Raw genomic sequence first — 24,166 nt, forward strand, 5'->3', positions numbered from 1 at the left:
CTTCCTGACGTTGCCATGGCATTCATAAACTCTCATGGTGCTGGTGAGAGTGTCTTTTAGCATGCTAATGCATCATAATTAGCGTGTAATGAGCAATGAGGACAACCAGATGCCACTTTCATCACCATCTTGGTTGTGGCTGGCTTCTTTACCGCAACCTGTTTTATCAGCAAGGTCTTTGTGACCTGTATCTTGTGCTGACCTCCTATCTCATCCTGTGACTTAGAACGCCTACTTTCCTGGGAACGCAGCCCAGTAGGCCTCAGCCTTATTCAAGATTCTCCAGGCTTGAGGGTGGAGCCTTATTTACCCAGCCCCTATTCAAGATGGAGTTGCTCTGGTTCAAAAACCTCTGGCATTTATATTAAAATATGTAGAATATATGAAACATTACATGCAGGTAATTTTTAATATTCACTTTATTTTCATCCCTGGTGTCTAGGCCTGCCCTCTCCCCCATTTCTGGGCTTCTGGCTGCCCGAAGCCGAGGTTTTGAGTTACTGTCTCTGGCTGACAACTCAAAGTGTGGACCTTCTAGGGGCTTGTAGGAGGCAGGGTGTGGGGTGGGGATCACAGGCAGCCCAGCCTCTTTCCCAGGCTCTCCAATCCCCTCTAAGGGGGTGGGATTTGCCCTTGGAACCTAGACGCCCCCTTTCCGGCTGCACACACCCTGCCTGCTGTTTCCTCTAGAAATGCAAAACTCCATCCCTGCACACTCCTAGATCCCTGCCGCGGAAGAAATCTTTGAAAAATGAAGTGGCTTCCTTTCAGGACAATATCACCATTTATAGTTTCCTGCTATTTACATCATATACAATTTTATCTGAGTTGGGCAGAGTGCACATGACACTAAAAACCAATGCAAAAGAGAATCAGTCACAAGATTTTTTATCACAGTATCAACCAAAATGCTCAATCTTACATGAAAAAGATATTTTCCCACTTTGTTCTTTCATAACTGTGACTTCTTTTCCTCTGGGTGTATATGTCACACATTTGTATGCATTTTCAAATGGGCTACAATTTGTAATTCCAGCTTGGCTTGAAAATGCAATTCCATATCTAGACATGTAGTTAGGTAATATTTTTCAGGAAATAGAATGTATTTACTACCTGTATCCAACGATTTCACCCATGTTCATTCATGGGCAATCCTGCTGCCTTGTGCGGGAAACCAAGATGGATCAGGGGCGAGTGGTGCCCTTAAAGCAGAGACAAGCTCCAATTATTACAATATTTCAAGTCCTCAGGTCTTTGTATACAAAATAATTTAGGACATAATTACTTTTTAGTTTAAATAGCCAAACTTTTTACATGTGCTATTTTTTAAAACTAAATTTTATTGAGGTATTGATATAGAAAAGAGACAGGGAAATACTGCATAGAAGAGGGCGGCTCCCCAGCAAAGGCCCCACCCTCAAGCCTGGAGACCCATGGCCCTAACTGGGAACAGGCATTTCTGTTTTCGTACCCAAAAAGTTGCCCTTTGGCCCACCACACCCCCGTATCCTGTACCCATATAAACCCCAAACCCCAGGCTCCAGGAGCAGATGAAGAGATGAAGAGAAAAGCAGTCAAACAGCAGAACGGCATGGCAGAGAAAGTGAGAAGATGAGGAACACCTGAACGCTGAGAGGAGTTCAGCTGCGGGTGGTAAGAGAGGAGTTTGGCCGTCCAGTGGCCAAACTCCAGGGGAAGATCGTCTTCGCACTCCCTCCCCACTTCCAGCTCCCCATGCATCCTACTGAGAGCCACTTCTACCCCTCAGTGAAACCCCTGCATTTATCCTTCAAGTCTGTGTGTGACCTGATTCTTCCAGGATCATGGACAAGAGCTTGGGATACAGAAAGCTGTCACAATGACCCTCTGCCTTTGCAGAAAGGCTGAGGGTCCACTGAGCTAGTTAACACTCAAGCCATCCACAGATGCCAAGGCTAAAAGAGCACACTGTAGCACACACCCACTTGGGCTCCTGCACCTGTCCCTCTGCGTGATCCCCCTCCCGTAAGGGGTTTGAACAGGCAGCGAGCCGAACCCTTGTCACACGTCCTGTGAGAGGGGCCAGGGAACACTCCCGTTTCAGTGTAATTTGTGTTTACTAAAATTAAAATGCAGTTTGATGAGTTATAAGTTGTTTTTAACATTATAGCAAAATTTGTTAAATACACAATAAAAATAGGTTTAAGAGGCACAGTTTGACTATAAGCATCTTAGTACATGGAATGGTTAACAGTTGTTAAAATATCAGTTTCACCAAATTGGGAAAATATCCAGTGTGACTGGAATAGGAGCAATTCCAAATTCGAGAGTATTTATTAAATATTCTATTACTCATTAGAAATCGAGGTATCCCAATGTGAAATCACTGTGACCTAAAGCAAGCAACTCATGTCACCTTGGAATCATGATTTCTTCTTCCGGATAGATAAGGGGATTAGACTAAAAGATGTCTTAGGTCCCTACAGTTCAAAAGTACTACGACTTCCAGTCCATGCCTGCAGAACACCGACTCCTGCCCCTCCCTCTTGGAAACTCTCCTCCTGCACCTCCCATCCCTCCACACCCTCCTGCTTTTCCTGTTGCTCTTTTCTGATCTCCAGCGGCCTCTTTCTAAATGCTGGCATTCCCCAGGCTTTACCCTGGGCCTCTGATCCTGCACTGCCTGCTCTTCACAGCTGCAGCAGCTGCCTGCCTGCTTGTAACTTCCAGGTCTGTATGTTGCTGCCCCACATCCTGGCCCCAGCATCCCGAAAGCACATTGGATGGCTGCTGGACATTTGTCCATGGGTGTCCACAGGCACATCCAACTCCCCATGCCCAGATTCCCCTCCCTCACACCTCAAATGCTGCTTCTTTTCCCATTTTATTTCAATAAAAAGCACCAGCACTCATTTTAACCTCAAAATCACTGAGTGATTTAATATTCCTATGGCATAGTAATCTATGTATTGGACATGAGAAAATGGACGCTTAGGGAAGTGAAGGAACATGTCTAAGGCTACATAGCCAGTCAGTGGTGGAGTCTGGATTTGAACTCAGGTGTGTCTGACTTGAAGGCTAGGGCCCCGAACCCTGTCATCCACCCTCATGTGCCTCAGGCGGGAACGTGGGTGCTGTCCTGGATGCCTCCTCCCTGTCACCACGCACGGCCACTCCGCCAGGACTCACAGGCACACAGGGCTCGCAGATCAGCTCCTCGCACCTCTGGCCCAGCTTGGTCAATCCACCCCCATCCTTGCTTCATCCCTAACACAGCCATCTTCCATCTTCCTCTCTTCAAGCCATACTTCACATTTAGAAAAGGTGCTTTTGCTACAGTACAGGTGACACCACTCCCTGGCTTACAAGGTGCTGGTGGCAACCAGAAGCTCCCGGGATAGGAGCAAGCCTCGCACTCACAAAAGCCTCTGTCTGCAGCTCCAGCATGGGGGTGGTCCTCACTAGCCACTATTTCATATTTGTGAACTTTTCTGCTTGTTAAAATGTATTTTTAACCCCCGAATCAATACTCGTGTTGCTTTCACAGTCACAGGAAAACATGTGCAGAGTAGGGCAACAATTTGAGCCATCGGCCTCCCAGCGGAGGCCATGCAGGGCCCCACGCTGCCTTCTTGTTCCTACTCTCAACCTGCAAACCAGTCTTCTCATGGTCTCTATAGTACCACTTCTTTTGCAGTTTTGAGCTTCTTGTTGTTGATTTCACTGTTTGAAACGGCCTCCAAGCATAATGCTGAAGCGCTGTCTAGTGTCCTTATGAGCAAGAAGGCTGTAATGTGCCTTACAGAGAAAACGCTTGTTAGCCAAGCTTGGTTCAGGTGTGGGTTCTAGTGCTGCGAACTGTGAGTTCAACGCTAATGACAAACACTACAGTGCATCCAGAAAGAGGAAGGGGAGCTTCACCAACCTGTACACGAGGCTGCTTGGGAAAGTGCAAAACTAATATCCCCTAGAGTGTGGCAAAACCATGGAAACCATAGAAAAGCAGCTACATTTGTGACTTCATGAGATGATGACCAATGAAAGCACAGCGGGCAGCACTGTTGTGAGGAGAGCCAAAAAGAGGCCTTAGCTAATGCTGCCTGGCTGGCACCTTTCAAAAGGCAGCATGGCATGGAAAGTGTTAGCTTTTCAGGAGTGGCAGCTCTGTAGATCAGGAAGTACTCTACGGGAAAAGGGTATGTGGAGAGCAGTTTTCAACACTGATGGGACTGCCTTGTTTTACAGGGATGTTGGAAAATGAACCCATGGAACATGAATGGTGCCTTGGCAGTTGAAAATATTGCAACCAGAGGCTTGCAGGAACCTTACCCTGTGTTTCCCCAGAAGCAATACTTCAGGACCCAAGGCGAGTTTACAGAACATAACCACAGCAAATCACCAGATAGGCCGCGCTCCTCAATCTCCTGCCGCGACGGCTGCAGCTCACTGAACCACGATTGCCTGAAGACGCTTTTCCTAGGGTGCCCTCTCCCGTCTGTCTCATCACCGAGGCTCATCCCTTAAACCTCAGCCCCAGTCATCCACAGGATATGTCTCTGGACCCTGCCTCCAGGGCACTGAGAGGTTTCTTATATAGCACTTTTATTTTTAAATTTGACATACAGTACCCACACCATATTGGATTGATGCTATGTTTCTATGTTATGTTATCTAGCAAAGTGCCTGACTCATAGAGACGAGCAGAAAATATTTGCTGAAAGAAGCATAAAGTTTAACAGTATTTATTCAATTTGTTCATTCTTCCTCACTGAAGTTTCTTGGGCCTTACATTTTTAATTGATAAAATAGTCTTAAATTAACATTCAAATAATAGCTCGTTCCCTGAAATAATCTAGAGAAGCCCTGTTCCCTCTCTTTTTGAGCTACCTATAATAACATTCTGCTGAGCCAACATGGAGCAGTTCTCCTGGCACATCCTGCCTGGGGAAACCGTGGCAGTGACTGTCATTAATGGGAGTCACAGAGCCCCTCCAGCCTCTAGACTATGCTGTCAAGTCTGTATGGTGAAGGCCCTGAGTCACCACAACACTGAAATTGTTTGAGGTGCTCTGGACCCAGGAAACACTGCCTGGCCATGGAACACTCTAGCGGAGGAGAGGTGAGGATTACCCCTGGCCATGGAGCACTCTGGTGGAGGGGAGGTGACGGATTATCCCTGGCCATGGAGCACTCTAGTGGAGGGGAGGTGACGGATTACCTCCTGGATCATGGCCATATGAAAGAGAAAGGTGTGGGGCTCTAGTAAACCACTAAGTTAACTGAAACTGGGAAACAGCCAGGTTGGCGGAACAGGGACCTAACCCAGTCTGCAACCCTTTTGTGTGAAAAACCACAGCCGTTATTCTTGCAACTTCAGAAGTGAAAAGGCGTGTGGGTTACAAGACAGCTAAAAGCAGCAGGGCGTTTCCCTCGGGCACCAGAAGAGGAAAGGTCTGGCAGTTAAAATTATTCCAACATATTCTTAGCATATAGCACAAGCTCACCTGCACATAGCGCCGTCCAGCACAACCTTAGAAAACTTCCCTCCAGCCCTTTATCTTTGCAGACAGCCCCTTCTCTGCTGTGCTGCATGTTGCATTCTTGCAATGTATTTTCATAGTTTCTGTAATAAATTTGCCTTTCTTTACTCACGGTTGTCTTGGTAAATACCTTTACTACCCACGACAACCCTGGCCCAGCAGTCGCACCCACGACAAAAGGGGCCCATGAGGAATTCTGCCAGGTGATGTCTGCAATACAGAGCCCAGGCTCTAACCGGAGGCAGCCAAGCTCCAGCCATTCCATCTTGAGCTTCTACCATAAGAGGAGCAACCCAGGACATCAGTAGCCTGGGAAGGAGAGAATGGCATTGTCCACAGGGACCTAAAGCCAGAACACCTGTTTCTGGCTACTTGACCTGAACATCAAGGTTGCAGACTTTGGCTTCAGCAACTGTTGGCAACAAGCTGAACACCCTCTGGGGCAGCCCCCTTGTGCGATCTGGGAACTCTCCTAAGTCCATAGGCACACTGGTCCACAGTGGTGGTGTGGAACCTGGAGTCACCCTCTGTAGCCTGGACACCGGGTCCCTGCCTTTTAACGGACACAACTTCAGGAAGCTGCAGCAATGGATCCTGACAGGAATGAAACACAACACCTCTTACATATGTGTGGAGGGTGCAAACCCACTGAAAACATTTCTCATCCTCAACTCCAGCAAGAGGGGCACCTCAGAAAAACCCACATTTGCCCCATGGAGGAACACCAGCAGAGTTTCAGCATGAGAAGGAACCAGAGCCACCCGGATGCTGAGCTCTCCCTAACCCCAAGAGTCCTGGCAAACTGAGCTCATGTTGTCCATGGCTTGTGAGTGAGACCAGATCCAGGACTCGCTGATGGACCACCGAACTGAACCTGGGCTGTATGCAAACATCCCAGCATGGAGGGCTCCAGCATCACAGTGAAGGCCCTGCCTTCGGCTGATCCCACCACCATCTGCAATCCTTTCCCTTTCTGCATGACACAGCCTAGGGTCTCTGTGAATCCAAAGCTGAGGTTTCAGCCATTCCCACCTTTAATTCTTCCTGGAAGAGCAGCAGCCCAGAAAATCAGCTGCCTGGGGAGGACCAGGGTCAAGACAGAAGCCACAAGGACAGCCAAGGTGCCTGCCAGTCCCTACCTAACCTGGAAATGAAAACCACCAATTCCAGAACAGCCCCCAGTGTGGCCCTGTGGCACCCCCATGGCAGCAGCAGCAGTGCAGGCACCGTAAGAAGCCAGTGGCTGCCAGGGCGCATCCTCCAAGGAAACATCCTCCCTAGGCAGCTCCATCAGGTGTGACACTAGCAGAATTTGCCTGAAGGTGTGACATCAGCCACTCCCCCCTACGAACACCCATGCTTCAGGCCAGTCTGAAAGACCCGGCATGAGCTCAAAGGAGAGTGGGGGTGAAGAAGCCTCACAGAGTGGACAGGTGAGGGCCAGGAATAAAATGAAGGATGTATGTATGGGTGTGGGGGGTCAAGTGCATCCTGGTGCTTTCCATGGAGCATGCAGACCCCGAGTTCCACAGAGCACGCACACCCTGAGTACCACAGAGCACAAGGATTCTGAGTTCCATGAATCACACAGACCCCAAGTTCCATGGAGCACAAAGGCCCTGAGACTCCAAGTTCCACAGAGCAAGAAGACTTTGAGTTCCACGGAAAATGAAGACCCTGAGTTTCATGCAAAATGAAGACCCTGAGTTCCACAGAGCATGCAGACTGCGGGGTTCAATGAAGCTCAACGAGATGATGCAGGAGATCGGCCAGGAGTGGGACACAAAGAGCTGCTGTGTGTGCACAGCATGTTTGGTCTTGGGGGCCTTTGGCTGTGGAGGTTGAAGGTGCATAAAATGCGGAGGCATTTGCTCAACAGGTTTTCAAAGAAGAGGGCATGCAGCACTTCTGCACACTCAAAAGCATGCTGGGCGGAAGGTTAAATGACAGCCTGCAGCCAGCTGGGCAACCAGAGGAGAGGCTGGCTGGCCTGTGCCCACCTGGGCAAAGCTTCAGAGACTGGATGATTTTTTCTGGGGCACTTCTCCCCTCCTCTTCTGGGGTGCTTCTCTTGTCTTTTCTTTCATGTTTGTGGGGCAGGGGAGATGATTCTGTAGAAATAAACAAAGATAAGAAAACTTAATGGCCAGGCATTTAACATCTTATTTTCTGAGCTTCTGCTAATGATGGGTTGTGACTACTGACTTGAGTGGTTCTCATTAGGTTCATCTTAGAGAACACAGGGTCGTCATTTCCTAGAGCAGGTTGCATAACAATGATATTAACACCAACAGGCACCACCACACGTGGTTCATTTTTAAATTTATTTTGTAGAGATGAGGTCTCATTATATTGCCCAGGCTGGTCATGATCTCCTGGGCTCAAGCAATCCTTCCACCTCAACCTCCCAAAGTGCTGGGATTATAGGTGTGAGTCACTGTGTCTGGCCTGGCAGTTCCTTATAAAGCTAAGTATACACTTATCATATGTAAGCTGACAACTTATATCCACACAAAAACTTCCATGTAAATGTTTATGACAGCTTTATTCATAACTGCTAAAACTTGGAGGCAATCAAGATGCCTTTCAATAGGTGAATGGATAAACTGTTGTGGATTCACACAATGAACTATTATTCCTTGATTTAAAACTGAGCTAACAAGCCATGAAAAGACACACAGGAAACTTAAATGCATATTGGTAAGTGAAAGGAGCCCACTTGAATGCTATGTACCATAGAATTCCAACCACATGATATTCTGTAAAAGGCAAAACTATGGAAACAGTAAAGACAGCAGAAGTTGCCAGGGCTGTGGGATGGGGAGGGTGAAAGAAAGGAACAAGTAGCTGAGGCACCAGGGATATTTTAAGACAGTGAAACTATTCTGTATGCTGCATTAATGATGGATACATGTCATGTCATTACACATTTCTCAAAATTATAGAAGGTACAATACAAAGAGTGACCTCTGATGAATTTTAGTTAATAATAATGTTTCTACATTGTTCATCAACTGTAACAAATGTACCACAAGGCAAGACTGTAAGGGTAACAACAGGGCATGTGGGCAGGAGACTGGATAGATGAGAACTCCCTGTACTTTCCACTCATTTTTCATGTAAATCTAAAACTGCTCTAAAAAAAAGTCCAATAATTTAAAAAAATCCAAAGGACCATCAAGGGTAGAATGGATAAATAAATTACGGTATGTTTGTACAATTGAATAGAATGAATAAACTTGCAAGTTAAATGTAATCCCATGGTGGTACACACACACACACACACACACACACACACACACACACAATAGAACATATACAAAAGGAAATGAGGAAATTAAAACATTACCAAAAATCAATTAAATACAAAAGAAGACAGTATGCAGGAAATGAAGGACAAAAAAGCTACAAGGCATATAAACAACCAACAGTATATGACAGAAATAAATCCCTCCTTATCAGTAAATAAACAAAACCACAAGTTGGTTTTTGAAAAGGTGAACAAAACTGACAAAACTTTAGCTAGATTGACTAAGAAAAAGAGACTCAAAGCCAAAAATAAAAGTGGGGCATTATTACGAATTCTACAGAAATAAAGAATTATAAGAGGTGTATTATAAACAACTATTTGCCAACAAATAGGACAGTCTAGATAAAATAGACAAGTTCTTAGGTATACAAAACCTACTAGGACTGAATCATGAAAAAACAGAAAATTAGAATAGACCCCGTAAATACTAAGAAGACTGAATCAGTCATCAAAAACTTTCTGACAAAGAAAGGCCCTGAATCAGATGGCTTCACTGGTGAATCTTATCAAACATTTAAATAACACTAATCCAACTCTTCTAAAAAATTGAAAATCAGAGAGCATTTCTAAACTCATTCTATGAGGTCAGCATTACCCTGATACCAAAGTCAGAAAAAAAAGTAGACAAGAAAACTAGAGACACATATCACTTCCCTGATGCATACCAATGCAGAAATCCTCAACAAAATACCAACAAACTACATTCAGCAGCATATTAAAATAATTATACACTATGACCAAGTAGAATTTATTCTTGGAATGCAAGGATGGTTGAACATTCAAACGTCACTGCATGAGGAGAATGGAGTGGTAAATCACATGATTATCTCAACTGATGTAGAAAAAGCATCTGACAAAATTTAAACACCCTTCCATGAAAAAACACTCAGCAAATGCAGAGGGGATGGAAGCTACCTCAATATAATAAAGACCATATATGAAAAACGCACACTAACATCATACTTAATGGTGAAAGACTGACAGGTTTTCTACTAAGATAGGAACAGAGGAAGGAGACCTGCTTTCACCACTTCTATTCAAAATGGCTTAGAAGTTCTGGCCAGAACAATTAGGCAAGAAGAATAAACAAATGGCATCCAAACTGAAAAGAAAGAGGTAAAATTATATTTGTTTGCAGATGATATGATCTTAGATGTAGAAAACCCTAAAGATTACACACACACACACACACACACACACACACCTGTTAGAATAAACAAATTCAGCTGAATGGTAGGATACAAAATCAGTGCACAAAAATCAGCTGTGTTTCTAAATACTAATAATGAATAATCTGAAAAGGAAATTAAGAAAATTCTATTTACAATAGCATCAAAAAGAATAAAATACTTAGGAATTAACTAAACCAAGAATGTAAAAATCCCAATGATGTGCTGGGCAAAACAGAAAAATTCATCCTAAAATTCACATAAAATTTCAGGATCCAGAATAGCCCAAACAATCCTGAAAAAGAACAATGTTGGAGGACGCATACTTCCTGATTTCAAAACTTAGTACAAAGCTACAGAAATCAAAACAATGTGGTGCTGGCATAAAGACAGACATATAGATGAACAGAATAGACTAGAGAGCCCCAAAATAAACTCTCACATATATTGCCAAGTGATTCTTGACAACTCAACAACAACAAACAACCCAATTGATTCATCTGTGTTGTATATGTTCTATAATCCTATTTATATGATATTTTAGAAAAGGCAGTATTATAGGGATAGAAAATGATTAGTGGTTGCCAAAGAATGCGGTTGGGGAAGCGGTTGACTACAAAGAGGCGTCAACAATAGAGAATTTTAGAGATGATGAGACAGTTGTGTTACTGTGAACGTGAATGTATAACTCTATACAGTTGTCAAAACTCATGAAACTGTATGTTACAAAGAATGAATTTTATTCTATGTAAATTTAAAAATCAACAAAGATGGTGGGCGGGTCAGATGGAATGCAGTTGGTGACAAATGAATCTTACTGAGTTAAAAATTATGACTAACCCATATTGAAGAGTGTGGGGGAAAAAAGTCTTCACCTAAGTAACCTTTGAAAATACTGTTTTGACTGCATACTGTAAGACTCAAGAACTGCACACAAACATACTGTATTCTGGTTGGCAAATTTGTTTCAGGGTATGGGTGAGCAATTCTGAAATGATTTTCCATGTTAGCAAATATATTTTAGAGAATTAGAGCCCAGTTTCTCTCTGTAGGTGAAAGAGTTATAAATAAACAAAGGGAGAATGCTAGAATAAACCCTAAGGTGCTGGACTGGAGTTAGGAATGTCAGTATGAACCCATGTCTATTTTAATGTATCTGTTTAGATGGACAGATGTAGATAGGTAGATGCTGAGTTTGTATTCATGCATACATGTTTGGAAACATTCACATTTTTCCAAACTATGCTGAGAGGGCCTCGAAGCAGTGATATCCCAGTATTAATGAGCACACCCAGTACCCAGATCCTGGTTTCTAAATACCATTCTCCTATAAAAGAAACCAAGGCTTCTTGGAGAAATGACTAATTCTAGGCCTGCCACGAAAAACACAAGATGAGACTAGAGCAACTTGCAGTGCCAGAAAATAAGAAAGTGCTTTTAAAAAACATAAAAGGGTGGGGACATGTCAAAAGAAGCCAACCTGGAAGAGCTCTCTATGACTCAAGGTGGAACAATGTGAGTGGCAAACAGTTATGACAGCACTAAATTGTAACCAAGAACATAAAATAAATATCCACAAGTCCATACTGATATAGAAAAGATTACATAAATCAGGAAGGAAAGACAAATCTTCCTTGCAGAAGAATTCCAAGTAATAAATGTTGAAGGAGCACAAATAGAAAACTACCACTAGAACACCACAGTAATCATTACTGCAGGAAAGAGTCATCAACGAATGCAAAAATTGTGGATGAAGAAACAGTATGTTTCTGTGGCCTCAAAACATCTCCCTCCAAATATTTATTATATATTTTTCTTTTTTTTCCTCTTAATTTCACCTAAAGATCTATGACTAAAGCAAATATAACACTGTGTTGTGGGGTTTATGACATGTGCAGATGTAAAATTTATGGCAACGACAGCACAAAGGATAGGAGATAAATGGTGCTATTCTGTAGCAAGTTTTTCTATTTTACACTCACTGTAACAGTACAATATTAACTCTAAACTGTGAGAATGTTAATGATGCACACTGTAATCCTTGGAGGAACTGCTAAAAAATGAAAAAATGTGTCACTTCAATGCTAATAAAGGAATACAACAATACAAAAAAGTACTTGTATAAGAATGTTCATAGATCTTTACTATTATGATAGCCCAAAACAGGAAATAACCCAAATATTCATCAACAGAGAAATGTATGAACAAACCATGGTGCATTCATACAACAGAATACTATTCAGCAATACAAAGGGACAAACTACTAAAACACACACTATGGAGGTGTTTCACAAATATTATGCTGAGACTGCTGGACATAAAAATGTATATTTTATGATTTCAAGCAAAATGAACTTACAGTTAAAAAACCCCCACAACAGTACTTTCCTCTGGGGGAGTTAAAAATTGCCTAGGAATGAGCATGAGGGTGTTTTCTGGGGATGATGGAAATATTCCATTCTGAAAAGAGGTGAAGGTTATATGGGTGTATTTATTTTTCAAAGCTGTACAATTAAGATTTGTGCCTTTCAATGCATGTGTATCTTACCTCACCAAAAAAGAACTAAAAAAAAAAATAAAGTGAGGGGTAGTAGGGAAAGGGCTGAGGTACAGAAGAAACAAAAATGGCACATGATTATTAGCTGTTGAAGCTGGGTCACGGCTCTATTATACAATTTTGTTCATTTTTTATATATTTAAATTTTTCTGTAACGAAAAGACTTGCACAGAAAGACAAAACTGATCTGTAATGTCAGCTGTTAAGACACTGGTACATTTGAAGAGGAGGGAGGCAGAAAGCGCTTGTGGGCCACATGAGTGAGGCTGCTTCTATTTCTTGGTTACCCACGTGTATCAATTTTGTCATAATATATATTGAGCTTAAGTAAATGCTTTATGCACGTATTTCTATATGCATGTTATATATCAACAAAATAGTTAAATACCACATATTTGCACACATAACTTAGTATCTCAGAGTAACAGCAGTGTTTTTTGTTTCAAAGTGGGACACTTCCACTCACAGCATCATCAGATGAACTGTAATATTCTGATGTATCTATTAGTGTCCTAACCCTTGGGTGAGACCCCCTAGGTCTTCCCATTTCTGCCTCAATTTGGTAAGTAGTAAGACTCTTATTTCTGACGATGTGATTTTATTTCCCAGCAAAGTCCTCCCCAAACCAAGGCCACAATAACTAGCACGGTGCTCTGCACATCATATGCACTCAGCACTTGTGAAATTGAGTTGAATCAGAAACAAAACGAGGAGCAGAGGTCAAGTCCTGCAAAAGATAGTAAGTAAGTAAGTAATGTAAATAACGCAATTAAGACTGAAAGGCTACAGCTCGGCAGCAAAGACTTCACATTCGTTTAAGAAACCATTTGCTACTAGTTCATCAAAAGACGTTGGTTTCATGCTGTGGTTCTCAATTCTGGCCACACATTGTAACCAGTTGGAGAGCTTTAAACAGCAAGGATGTCTGGATCCTACCCCAGGGATTCTGATTTCACTGGTCTGTTGCAACTTGGGTTTTGGGAATTTTAAAAGCCCCCTGCCACCCAGGTGATTGTAAGGTGCATCAGGGGTGAGAACCTTAGCTGTGCCTGATTTCCTTGTGTGCTGCGGGGATTTGCCTCATCGCAGCATCTCAGCTTTGCGGGGAGGGGTGGTGGGCAGTCTTAGAAAACAGCTCTGCCCTGTTAAAATCAAAGGACGGCTCAAGACGTGCTCAGCTGCTTGACTAAATTGCAGCAGGAGGAAATGTCTTTTCAGCAGATCTATCTTTACATCACTTGCTTTCAGAGTAAGAGGTTGTTTTGGGCACAGCATTTTGATTTAGTCTGTGTTGAAGACCAGTAATAGCCTACAAATACCAAAATGGGATGAAAAGAATTTCCAAACATGTGAAGTGCTTTATACGTGTTTCTTCATCCTTCCCTGTGTCTACACCCTTTGCAATGCGCTTTTACAGCTGCTCCCATCCAGAGTTAGAATCTGTTTCCCAAGACTTGGATCCAGCTGGCAGTTTTGGGCCCAGTCTCAAAAGGTCTTGAATGCTTCTTCCTTTTCTTTCAGAACCGTGCTATCTCCGTGACAACAAGCCCAAGTTAGCCTGCTAGAGGATGAAACACTTTGCGGAAGAGAACCAAAGTTGCCCAGTCCACAAGCCAACTCACTCTCAACAGCAGAGCTGTCTGGTCACCAGCAGCTGACCCCCTTCTCCCATACACACACATGAAGATTGCTATACCTTATAAAGGTACGGCAGGTTTTATAGGTATAGCAATTAATTTATGGCAGGAGCCTGCCATAAATTGCTGACTTGCTCAATCATGAGCTAAATAAGTTTTGGGATGGCTCATTACACAGTAACAGCTAACTAACACACCCAGAGCTGACAGGATGCCAGGATTAACAACATGCTGACTACAAGTTAGCTGGCACACTATAGGGACCGTCTAGGTACTGAATTCCTTTTCCCCTTATTAGAAGTTGGGTCCCTTGAATTATAAAGAAATGCATGTAGACATGTATGTGCTTAAAACTCACACAGTATCACACAACACAGGAGGAAATAGATGACAGCCTGACCACTAGGGCAAAGGCCAAATAGCAAGGTAAGGCATTTGTCTGGAATCTATTCCCTCCAAATCTAAACTCTGGAGGTCAAGGCTGTGGACAGGACCCACCTCCTGGGACCCCGCTGTCCTCTGATCTCTGGAGGGGAGAATGGCCCCACCAAGCAGCAGATGGGCAGCAGTGGCCTACCTGTGGCCACCTCCTGCTGGCAGCCCCTGCTCTCTCAGGGCACTCTCTCTTCCTTTGGGACTGAGAAGAGATGTGGGTAGGGAGGGGGAGCTCCCTCCCTCCTGGCAGAGAAGTGGGGTTCAGGCCCTTCACCTTCCTGAGTTCAGGGAGTCAGAGCCCTCAGAACATCTGGAATCTGGCTGCTTTGAACTGAGATATGCTAGAAGTGTAAAATATGGAGTGAGTTTTAAAGATTTAGGACAAAGAAATGTAAAACGTTTCATTAGTATTTTTATACTGATCACACATTAAAATGATATTTTGGATACATCGGGTCAAATAAATTATATTATTACAAATCAATTCCATCTGTTTCTCTTTAGTTTCCTTAACCTGGCTAGTAGAAAATTTAAAACTACAGGCAGGCATAGCTCATATTCTGTTTATATTGGACACGGCTGTCTTAAAGGACTGCCTCCTTTCCGAAGCTCAGGCTGCCTCCAGTCATGGTGGAAGGGGAAGTGGAGCAAAGAAGAAAGGAGGTGGGGTGCCACGCGCTTTCACAACAACCAGCTCTCATGTTCCATAGAGCAAGAACTCACTCACTACCACCAGGACAGCACCAAGCCATTCCTGAAGGATCTGTCCCCAAGACCCAAACACCTCTCACTAGGCCCCCCTTTCAACATTGGGAATCAAATTTCTTTCTTTCTTTCTTTTTTTTTTTTGCTAGAGGACAGGAAGGTTATAAAATCTGAAAATTTTAAATAATTTGTCATTTTGTTGTTTCCATTTGTGAACAAAGGACTTAATAAAAAATTTAAGATTTAACATTAAAATAAAATACATTCATTTCAATATCACGCTGGAATTCAACATTGTTTTGCACGGGGGCTGCAGAAACAATGTAGAGCTTCTTCCTCCTCCAGACCCTCACAGCTCAGCAAGCCTCTCAAGGGCTGGTTGCTGGCCACTGCGTTTCCAGTTTTTGTAGGTTCTCTTCCTCCCAGGTGATTAAGGAACAAGGCCAAAGGTGTTTGAAGCTTTCAGAAAACACAGGATTTTTCTTTCTGTGGCTCACCAGCATTTTCATTTCTATATCAGCAACACCATATGCAGGCCACAGCTGAGCCAAAACACATAATGAATTGAGTCTGAAATCAAATTGTACCTAATATTTACAGCCATGTGCATTACTAAAAAGGGGCATATCTTCCAACAATTCCAGTAAGTTCCCAAGACTTAGTTCACACTGGGTACTAGCCTGTGATGGTGCCCCTGTGCTTGTTACTGGGGGCAAAATGGGACAGTGTTTGCTGAGTTCATGGCTGAGGGGCTGCGGTGCGATGCAGAGAGCAAAACTTCCCACTGAATAACACTCCTATGTGAGAGCGGCATGGCGGCCAAGGTCAGCTGGCTCAAGGCAACTGCCTCCTTTTTTCCTAACAAGCAACATTTTCAGGGAAAAACCCCAGCTTCAATGTAGGAAGGTTTTGATGGTGGCTCAGGCCTCGGACTGAATTAAAAAGGAATAAGGAGATAAAATCCATATTTTAATTATAAACAAATGTCTCACTGAAAAAATTCCAGACCCATAAATCCATCTATGTATTAGTTATTGGAGTAATTTAAAATGTGAGGAAATTATAAAGTGTGTGTCCCTTATTATATATTTCTTCCCCCCACCACTTTTTGAACATCTAAAGTTCCTAACACATAGATACTCTTTTATGAGGAAAAAAAAACCTGTTGACATTGATACAGTTTGAATATTTGTCCCCTCCAGATCTCATGTTGAAATTTGACCTCCTAGTGAGACCCTGTCTCTACAAAAAATTAAAAACTTAGTTGGGCATGGTGGATTGAGCCTGTTATCCCAGCTACTCAGGAGGCCGAGGTGGGAGGACCTCTGGAGCTCCAGGAGTTGGATGCCACAGTAAGCTACGGCTCAGCTCAGCCATGGCTTCTATAGTGAGCTATAACTGCGCTACTTCACTCCACCCTGGGTGACAGAGTCAGATTATCTCTTTAACAAAACAAAACAAAACAAAACAAAACAAAACAAAACAAAACAAAACAAAACAGAAGAAAGAAATTTGATTCCCAATGTTGAAAATGGGGCCTAGGATGGGTGTGGTGGTGCAAGCCTGTAATCCCAGCACTTTGGGAGGCCGGGGCAGGCAGATCACAAGGTCAGGAGATCGAGACCATCCTGGTTAACACAGTGAAACCCCGTCTCTACTAAAAATACAAAAAATTAGCCCGGCGTGGTGGTGGGCACCTGTAGTCCCAGCTACTCGGGAGGCTGAGGCAGAAGAATGGCATGAACCTGGGAGGCAGAGCTTGCAGTGAGCTGAGATCATGCCACTGCACTCCAGCCTGGGTGACAGAGCGAAATACCATCTCAAAAAAAAAAGAAAGAAAGAAAGAAGAAAGAAATTTGATTCCCAATGTTGAAAGCGGGGCCTAGTGAGAGGTGTTTGGGTCTTTGAGGGCAGATCCTTCAGGAATGGCTTGGTGCTGTCCCAGTGGTAGTGAGTTCCTGCTCTATGAAACATGAGAGCTGGTTGTTGGAAGGCACGTGGCACCCCACCTCCTTTCTTCCTTGCTCCACTTCCCCTTCCACCATGACTGGAGGCTTCCTAGGGTCCTCACCAGAAACAGATGGTGGTGCCAGGCTGGTACAGCCTGCAGAATCATAAGCCAAATAAATCTCTTTTCTTCATAAATTACCCAGCCTCGGGTGTTCTTTTATAGCAACAGAAAATAGACTAATACAGACATCAATGTGAATATTTAATATTGGAAAATTTTTTTTCATTTTCTATTTTGTCTGTATAGCTAACATTAAAGAAGCCAAAGATATAGAATGCTACATCTCAGATATTGCATTTTGTAAAAAACATGAAGGTAAAATCTTTGTTTCTTCAATTACTAATCAATGATAGTTGTACTTTGCCCATTCTATGCAGAATACAGTTCCATGAACCGTGGGGAGATGGAAAATAACCATGTCCCAGCCTTCCAGGCAAGTCCCTGGAAGGAATGGCTTGGTGCTCTCCCAGTGGTAGTGAGTGAGTTCTTGCTCTATGAAACATGAGAGCTGGTTGTTTGAAAGCGCGTGGCACCCCTGGTGCCTGGAAGGCTGGGACAGGTAAGATTGCATCTCTGTGCTCTGCAGTGTCTGTCACACAGCAGGCACTTAATGAGAAGGCTGCTGAATGAAAGAATACTTCCAACCAGCTTGGAGCCCAAATGCAGGTTCTCCCTGAAGTTCTGACCTCACGTTGTGGGCACTGTGGGCTTCCATGCACATGTCCACACCACCCGTGCACCCACTTCCTTCCTGGACCTGAGCAGAGCCCCACTTTCCAGCTCCTGCCTGTGAGGGGATAACCAGGCCCCTGGGACCCACAGCTCCAGCAGCTGGAATTCAGAGTTTATGACCTGCTGTTTTCCACATTCCCCCTCCCTCCCCCTCAGGACCTGCACCCCACTGCACGGCACCTTCTATTCTGCTGTCATGGCCCAGAGCTCTGTTCATCTGCTTCAAGCAGCTCTCCACCCCGCTTCCTCCCTCCCCTCCTGCTGGATCTCTTTCTTTCATTGGTTCTTGTCCCGTTCCCTCAGTAAAAGAACTCTCCTTCCAATCTGCCTCATTCACATTCACTTGGGAACCAAAAATTCACCCCACAGCTTAGTATTCCCAGTTGTGGAAAAATTCAGGCACCTTCTGGATGAGACAAATGTGAAGAAGCCAGACATGAAAAAACACTTATATGGATTGATTTATATGAAATGCCCAGGGAAGAAAAATCTATTGAGATGGAAACTAGATTTGTGATTGCTTACAGCTGGGGTAGGGGTGGGGGAACAGGGTGATAGCTAAAAGGTACAGGACTAATAAAAATGTTGTAAACTTAACCATGGTTTTGGTTGCACATATCTGTGATTATACTAAACCCTAGCAGATCATAAGGTATGTGAATTTTTCCTCAATAAAGCTGTTTAAAAATAAAAAAAAAATTAGGCTGGGCACAGCAACTTACCCTGTAATACCAGCACTTGGGGAGGCTGAGGCAGGAGGATTGTTTGAGGCTAGGAGTTCAAGACCAGCCTGGACAATAGAGTGAGACCCCATCTCTACAAAAGATTTAAAAAATTTAGCCAAGCATGGTGGTGCGCACTTGTAGTCCTAGGTACTTAGGAGGCTGATGTGGGAGGATCACTTGAGCCTGAGAGGTGAAGGCTGCAGTGAGCCGTGATCATGCTACTGCAATCCAGCCTGGGAGACAGAGAAACATCCCAACTCAAAAAAAAAATTATTACGAACTATTTTATACATACAAAATTACACAGACACACACACATACACAGACTCACATAAAAGTAAAATAAATACATTGTACCCATCACCTGCACCACTACATTTGAAGCCATCTGCATGGTTGGCCCTTCTGAAATGTAACCCCATCTGGGACAATCATTCATCTGAAGCTTTACAAAAAGTATTTCCCTGACTTTCATTATACTTTTATTACATAATAATATCTCTAAATAATATATTGTTTCTCTAAATAATATACTGTTTAACTTTGTAAGTTTTTACACTTTCTATAAATGTGCTGTGTATCTCTGTAACTTGCATTACTCATTCCACATTGTATTTTCGAGAGCCTTCTATGTTTTAAGTAGTTTCTCATTCAATTCTATATATTGCTTACTAATTAGCCTTTAAATTGAATATACTAAGACCTGCTGGAGAGAGAATTCTTGTGGGATAATGAGTATAAAGTGCTTAAAGCAGTGCCCCATTCATTATAGGTATTCAATATATGTAATACTATACACAATATTTTAATACTGAGTAATTATATACATATTATGATTGCTTGTTTCTTTGTGGATGTACATTATTTCATCAACTGCACTATGAACTAATAGTTTTCTTTCTTCTAGGGGAGGGGGCGGGGTCTGGCACTGTTGCCCAGGCTGAAGTACACTGGTGCGATCACGGCTCACTGCAGCCTAGACCTCCCGGGCTCAAGGATCCTCCCACCTCAGCCTCCTGAGTAGCTGTGTCTATCAGCAGTGCCACCACTCCCAGCTAATTTTTAAATTTTTTGTAGAGATGGGGTTTCACCATGTTGCCCAGGCTGGTCTCTAACTCCTAGCTCAAGTGATCTGCCCACCTTAACCTCCCAAAGTGCTGGGATTACCGCTGTAAGCCATTATGCTGGGCAAGAGTTTTCAAACTACGGTAAAATTCAAGTTACAGATACCTTTGGGAAATGCCTCATTCTAAGTATTTGAAGCTTCCAGATAGCTAAGATTAAAAATTTTTACATACTAACTTGTTTCTAAGTGTATGCTTTTACATTTAAACAAACTAAAAACATAAGCTTTATAAAAAAATTTCAGCCATTTCCAAATTCTCTTCCAAACTTGTTTAGAAACATACATGACAGAGCTTTGGTCGGATTGTGCAAACTGTTGTGTGTTCTGTTTTTAAAATATTACTTAACTTGTACACTTCCACACATTGGCATGGCACATCATTGCCATTTCCAATACGTTCCTGTGCTTCACCAATTTCCATAGCTGTCAGAGGGAGAGCAGCCCAGGTGACAGGAAATGAAGTTGTCTGGCTCCGAGTCCTTACTAGGAGGACTTCTGGGATCCAGAATCTTTGCATGGGGCAGATGACATATTCTTAGAGGCCATTCATTTTTTCCACTGTAGCTGCTAGTGCCAGTTTCCACTCCACTGCCTGAGGGCAGGTTGATCTTGTAAGCCATCACCGATGGATTTGTGGTCACTGCCTGGAACCCTGTGCCAAAGAGGACTGGGAGGTCCCATTCAGGAGGGAATCCTCTGACTTATTACTGGCATCTGAGCATCTCCCAGCATGGCTGTTCCTACTTGTAATAAGGTGATGTCAAATGACTCCAGGGCAGTGCTCCGGTTCCCATGAACACATCTGGTCACTCTGGGAGCTTTTGAGTCAGTGAGCTCTCTCCTCACATCCCGATACACTGTTGTTTGCAAAAATATATTTTTATAGGCAAGGTATTTGTGTTTTGGATTTGCACCCTGATGCAGGCATTAATTTGTTTAAAAGGATAATTTAACATTTTCAGGAAGCTGAACATCTTTAAATTCTCTTTTGATTATTTCTAGTTTTATTGCATTATGACCCAGAAATGTGTACAATTTTTGTTCTTGTATACTCACTAAGGATTCTTCTTGTTTTCAGAGTAGGACCAAAGGTATTTCTATTTGTTTGCAAGTCTGTTGGCTCAGTTTCTAAAGAGTTCATTTTGTTACCATGTTCTTTTAAGTATATACATACAGGTTAGTTACGTTTCCAGTTTCCTGTGCTTTTTATTTTTTTTTTAAACAAGCTTTTCTGGCCCTTCATTCTCTCAGACTTTTCCTTCCATGCCTTATGCTGTAGATAAAGTCTATGATCTAACGTCTGTCAGTTAAGATTGTTTTCAGCTCTGGAGACCAGAAAATCTGACCCACATAGCAAGAACAAGCAAGGGCAGGAGATGAGGCTGAAGAGGCAGGCACCAGGTTGTCTGAGCTTTTATTCTACTGCAATGAGTAGATAGTGGCAGGGTTTACACAGGGGTGGGGGTATGCCTATATCATGTTTTAACATTTTCAAGAGATCACTCTGGATGCTTGAGTGGAGGCTGGACTGTAGCAGGGCAAGACAAGATGCAGGGAGGTTGGAGGATTCTTGGCAGTAGCCCAGTAGGAGAGGAAGGTGACTGAAACTGGTTGTGGAAATGGAGATGGTGAATCAGGATGCTGGTTGCACTCAAGAGCCACAGGACTTGCTGTGTGGTTGCATGGGGGTTGGGGGAGAAGGGAAAAGAGTCAGGGATGACTCTTGGTGCTCCCCTCAGGGAAGAGGCCCCAAGCCTAGTGGTTATCAACAGATGGATGGTATTTAAAGCTATGAGACTGTGTGGGATCATTCTGAGAGGATCACTAGAGATCTGGTGGAGGAGGAGCAGGAGGATGAGGATAAAGGTGAGAGGGAATCCAGGAGGGAAGGTCCCTAAAATCCAGAAGAAAGGGTGGAACTCCTCAATTGTATCGTCTGTGTCAAATGCAGCTAAATGACTGAGATAAAAGTCGTTTCAGCAAAGTACCTTGGAGGAAAGCTGGAAAGGAGTGGGTGCAAGAGAGGACATGAGGTGAGGAAGTTGCATGGAGCAGAGAAACAGAATGGTAAATGGAGAGAAACCTGGGGTTAAAAAAGGTCTATTTGTTTAATGCACAGCATTAAGGAATGCTTGTGTGTGGACACTAGCAAAAAATCAGTACAGAGAACCCCAGAATTCTGGGGTCATAGCCCGAAAGGACTCCTCAGCTCCAAATTTACTTGAAGTTACAGCTTCCATCTTTAAATTAAATGGGATTTTTTTTTTTTTTGCCATCTATTTCATCATACAGGATGTGACACAGAATATATCTGAAAGTATAACTTTCCTGGAAGAACACATCTTAGTTTTTAATATCTAAACTGTATAGCAGCTATTTATCTCACAAAACATTTTTCAGGCTGAGTGCGGTTGGTGACTCACGCCTGTGATTCCAGCACTTTGGGAGGCCAAGGCAGGAAAATTGCTTGAGTCTAGAAGTTCGAGGCCAGCCTGGGCAATGTGGGGAGATGTAGTTTCTACAAAAAATTTAGAAATTAACAGGCATGGTGGCACAAACCTGTGGTCTCAGCTACTGGGGAGGCTGAAGCAGGTGGATCGCTGGAACCCCTTTCGTGGTGCAGTTTGGGCAAAAGAGCAAGAACCTGTCTCAAATTTTTTGGCTGATGGTTGTAGACATAATGTTTGAGCTTTCAAAAATTACAACATTTTAAACTAAATAGTTTGCTGGAAAAAACCACATGTTCCTTCCAGAAACAACTGGTAGACCATCAGGATCATGACAGTCACTTCAAAAAGCTTTGGTGTGTTGACAAAGGGGAGGTTCACGTGTGATGTTGCTGGTCGCACAGCTACTGCATCCAAGGCAAATGCATGTTAACAACCATATCAAATGTGGGTGACCAAGTGGCAACATTTAAGCATTTTACATCCTAACTTATGTGCAACTTAAACCTACTGCCACACTGTGAGTTAGGAAATTGGTAGGTTTTTTTCTATTGACTTGTTGTGCCCTATAATTTTTCCTATTTAAAATAATGGGAAACAAGTTTTCAGTTTTTTTCTCAGAAAAAGTCTGACATTTCAGGCACAGATATGTCTGACAGTTATTACCAGCAGAAGAGTTTCTAGCCTTTTCATCGTAAAATTTTAATTACTTACCTTGGAAATTACTTAACTTCGTTCCTTCCAAATCTGGTAGTAAAATGGGTGCTCCAGAAAGCTGTGGCACGGATATTCTGCTGCTTTGCTCGTCTCTGCACAGACCTGGGGCTTGAGGAGCCTGCAGCCACGAAGTACAGGACGTCATCAGAATGGAAAAGCGATCCAGATGGTCCCGCAGGCGCAGTGCTGGGGCGTAAAGTGCAGCCTGTGCACGGCGGGTGGGAGGCGCGCGGGCTCGCCGGGGCTCGGGACTGTGTTCTTGCAGCCGAGAGGCCCACACAGGACAAGGAGGCCTGACCCAGGCTGTTGGAGCCCGCGAAGAGGGGGTGAAACTCCAAGGGGCGTAAGGGTGATCACACGTGCGGCCAAGCTTCCCGTCTGCATGGCGAGGGGCTGGGCCTTTCCGTCGTGATTTTTCTCCCATTATGCCGGGCGCGTAGCGGGCCCTGGGGCGGCGGGACCGGTGCGGGCGTTCAGTCAGCCCGGGGTCCTGGAGGCCGGCGGGGGGATTCGCAGCAGCCCGAGGGACGGATGGATGGCAGAAAGGAGTCTCTACTTCCAGGTTCCCAGTGATCGCTATGTTCCTTACAAGCAGTAAACTCACGACTTCAGACACCCGCCACGGAGCTCCGCGCGCAGTCCTCAAACAGCCAGCCACGCCGGCCGGGCGCACAGCGCATGCCCCGGGGTCGGGGCGGGGCGGAGGAGACGGGGCGGGGCGGAGGGGACGGGGCGGGGCGGAGGGGACGAGGCGGAGCCGGGCGGGGTTGAGGGGACGGGGCGGGGCTTGGCGGGGGCGGAGCCGCCCAGCGCTGAATCCAAATCGTATCTAAGCTATTTTCTAGCTCTGACATCGTATACATCACTGCATACGTGAATAGCATGCCAAATACTGTATAAACCAATACTGGTTTTTTTCTTCTCGGGAGGTACTATATAAATAAAGCACGTACACGGTATCTAATATCAGAACATTCAAATCCCATATTGAAAAGATTATAAATTGACCATAATCCTATAATTCTGTTTAGCAACAGTGCGTTCCTTCTCAGTCTTCACTTTTAAAATATCTAAGA

The 24,166-nt window shown here is 43.8% G+C and overlaps 1 long non-coding RNA gene across 1 annotated transcript, besides 1 other annotated feature; it reads right to left on the reverse strand.

The window, feature by feature from the left end:
* Positions 1–401: 401 nt before the first annotated feature.
* On the reverse strand, positions 402–23,770 carry LINC02693 (long intergenic non-protein coding RNA 2693). The gene is made up of 2 exons (NR_160801.1): positions 23,088–23,770; positions 402–7,630 (listed from the first exon to the last, which is right to left on the reverse strand). It is a non-coding gene; the product is annotated as a long intergenic non-protein coding RNA 2693 (long non-coding RNA).
* Positions 23,664–23,833: a silencer, noted in NCBI's record as "silent region_8321". NCBI's record gives its function as "represses an Ori minimal core promoter by ATAC-STARR-seq in GM12878 lymphoblastoid cells {active_cell/tissue: GM12878}" and the evidence as "EXISTENCE:reporter gene assay evidence [ECO:0000049][PMID:35858748]".

Source organism: Homo sapiens, chromosome 17 (genome assembly GCF_000001405.40).
Source record: "Homo sapiens chromosome 17, GRCh38.p14 Primary Assembly".
NCBI classification, from domain to species: Eukaryota; Metazoa; Chordata; class Mammalia; order Primates; family Hominidae; genus Homo; species Homo sapiens.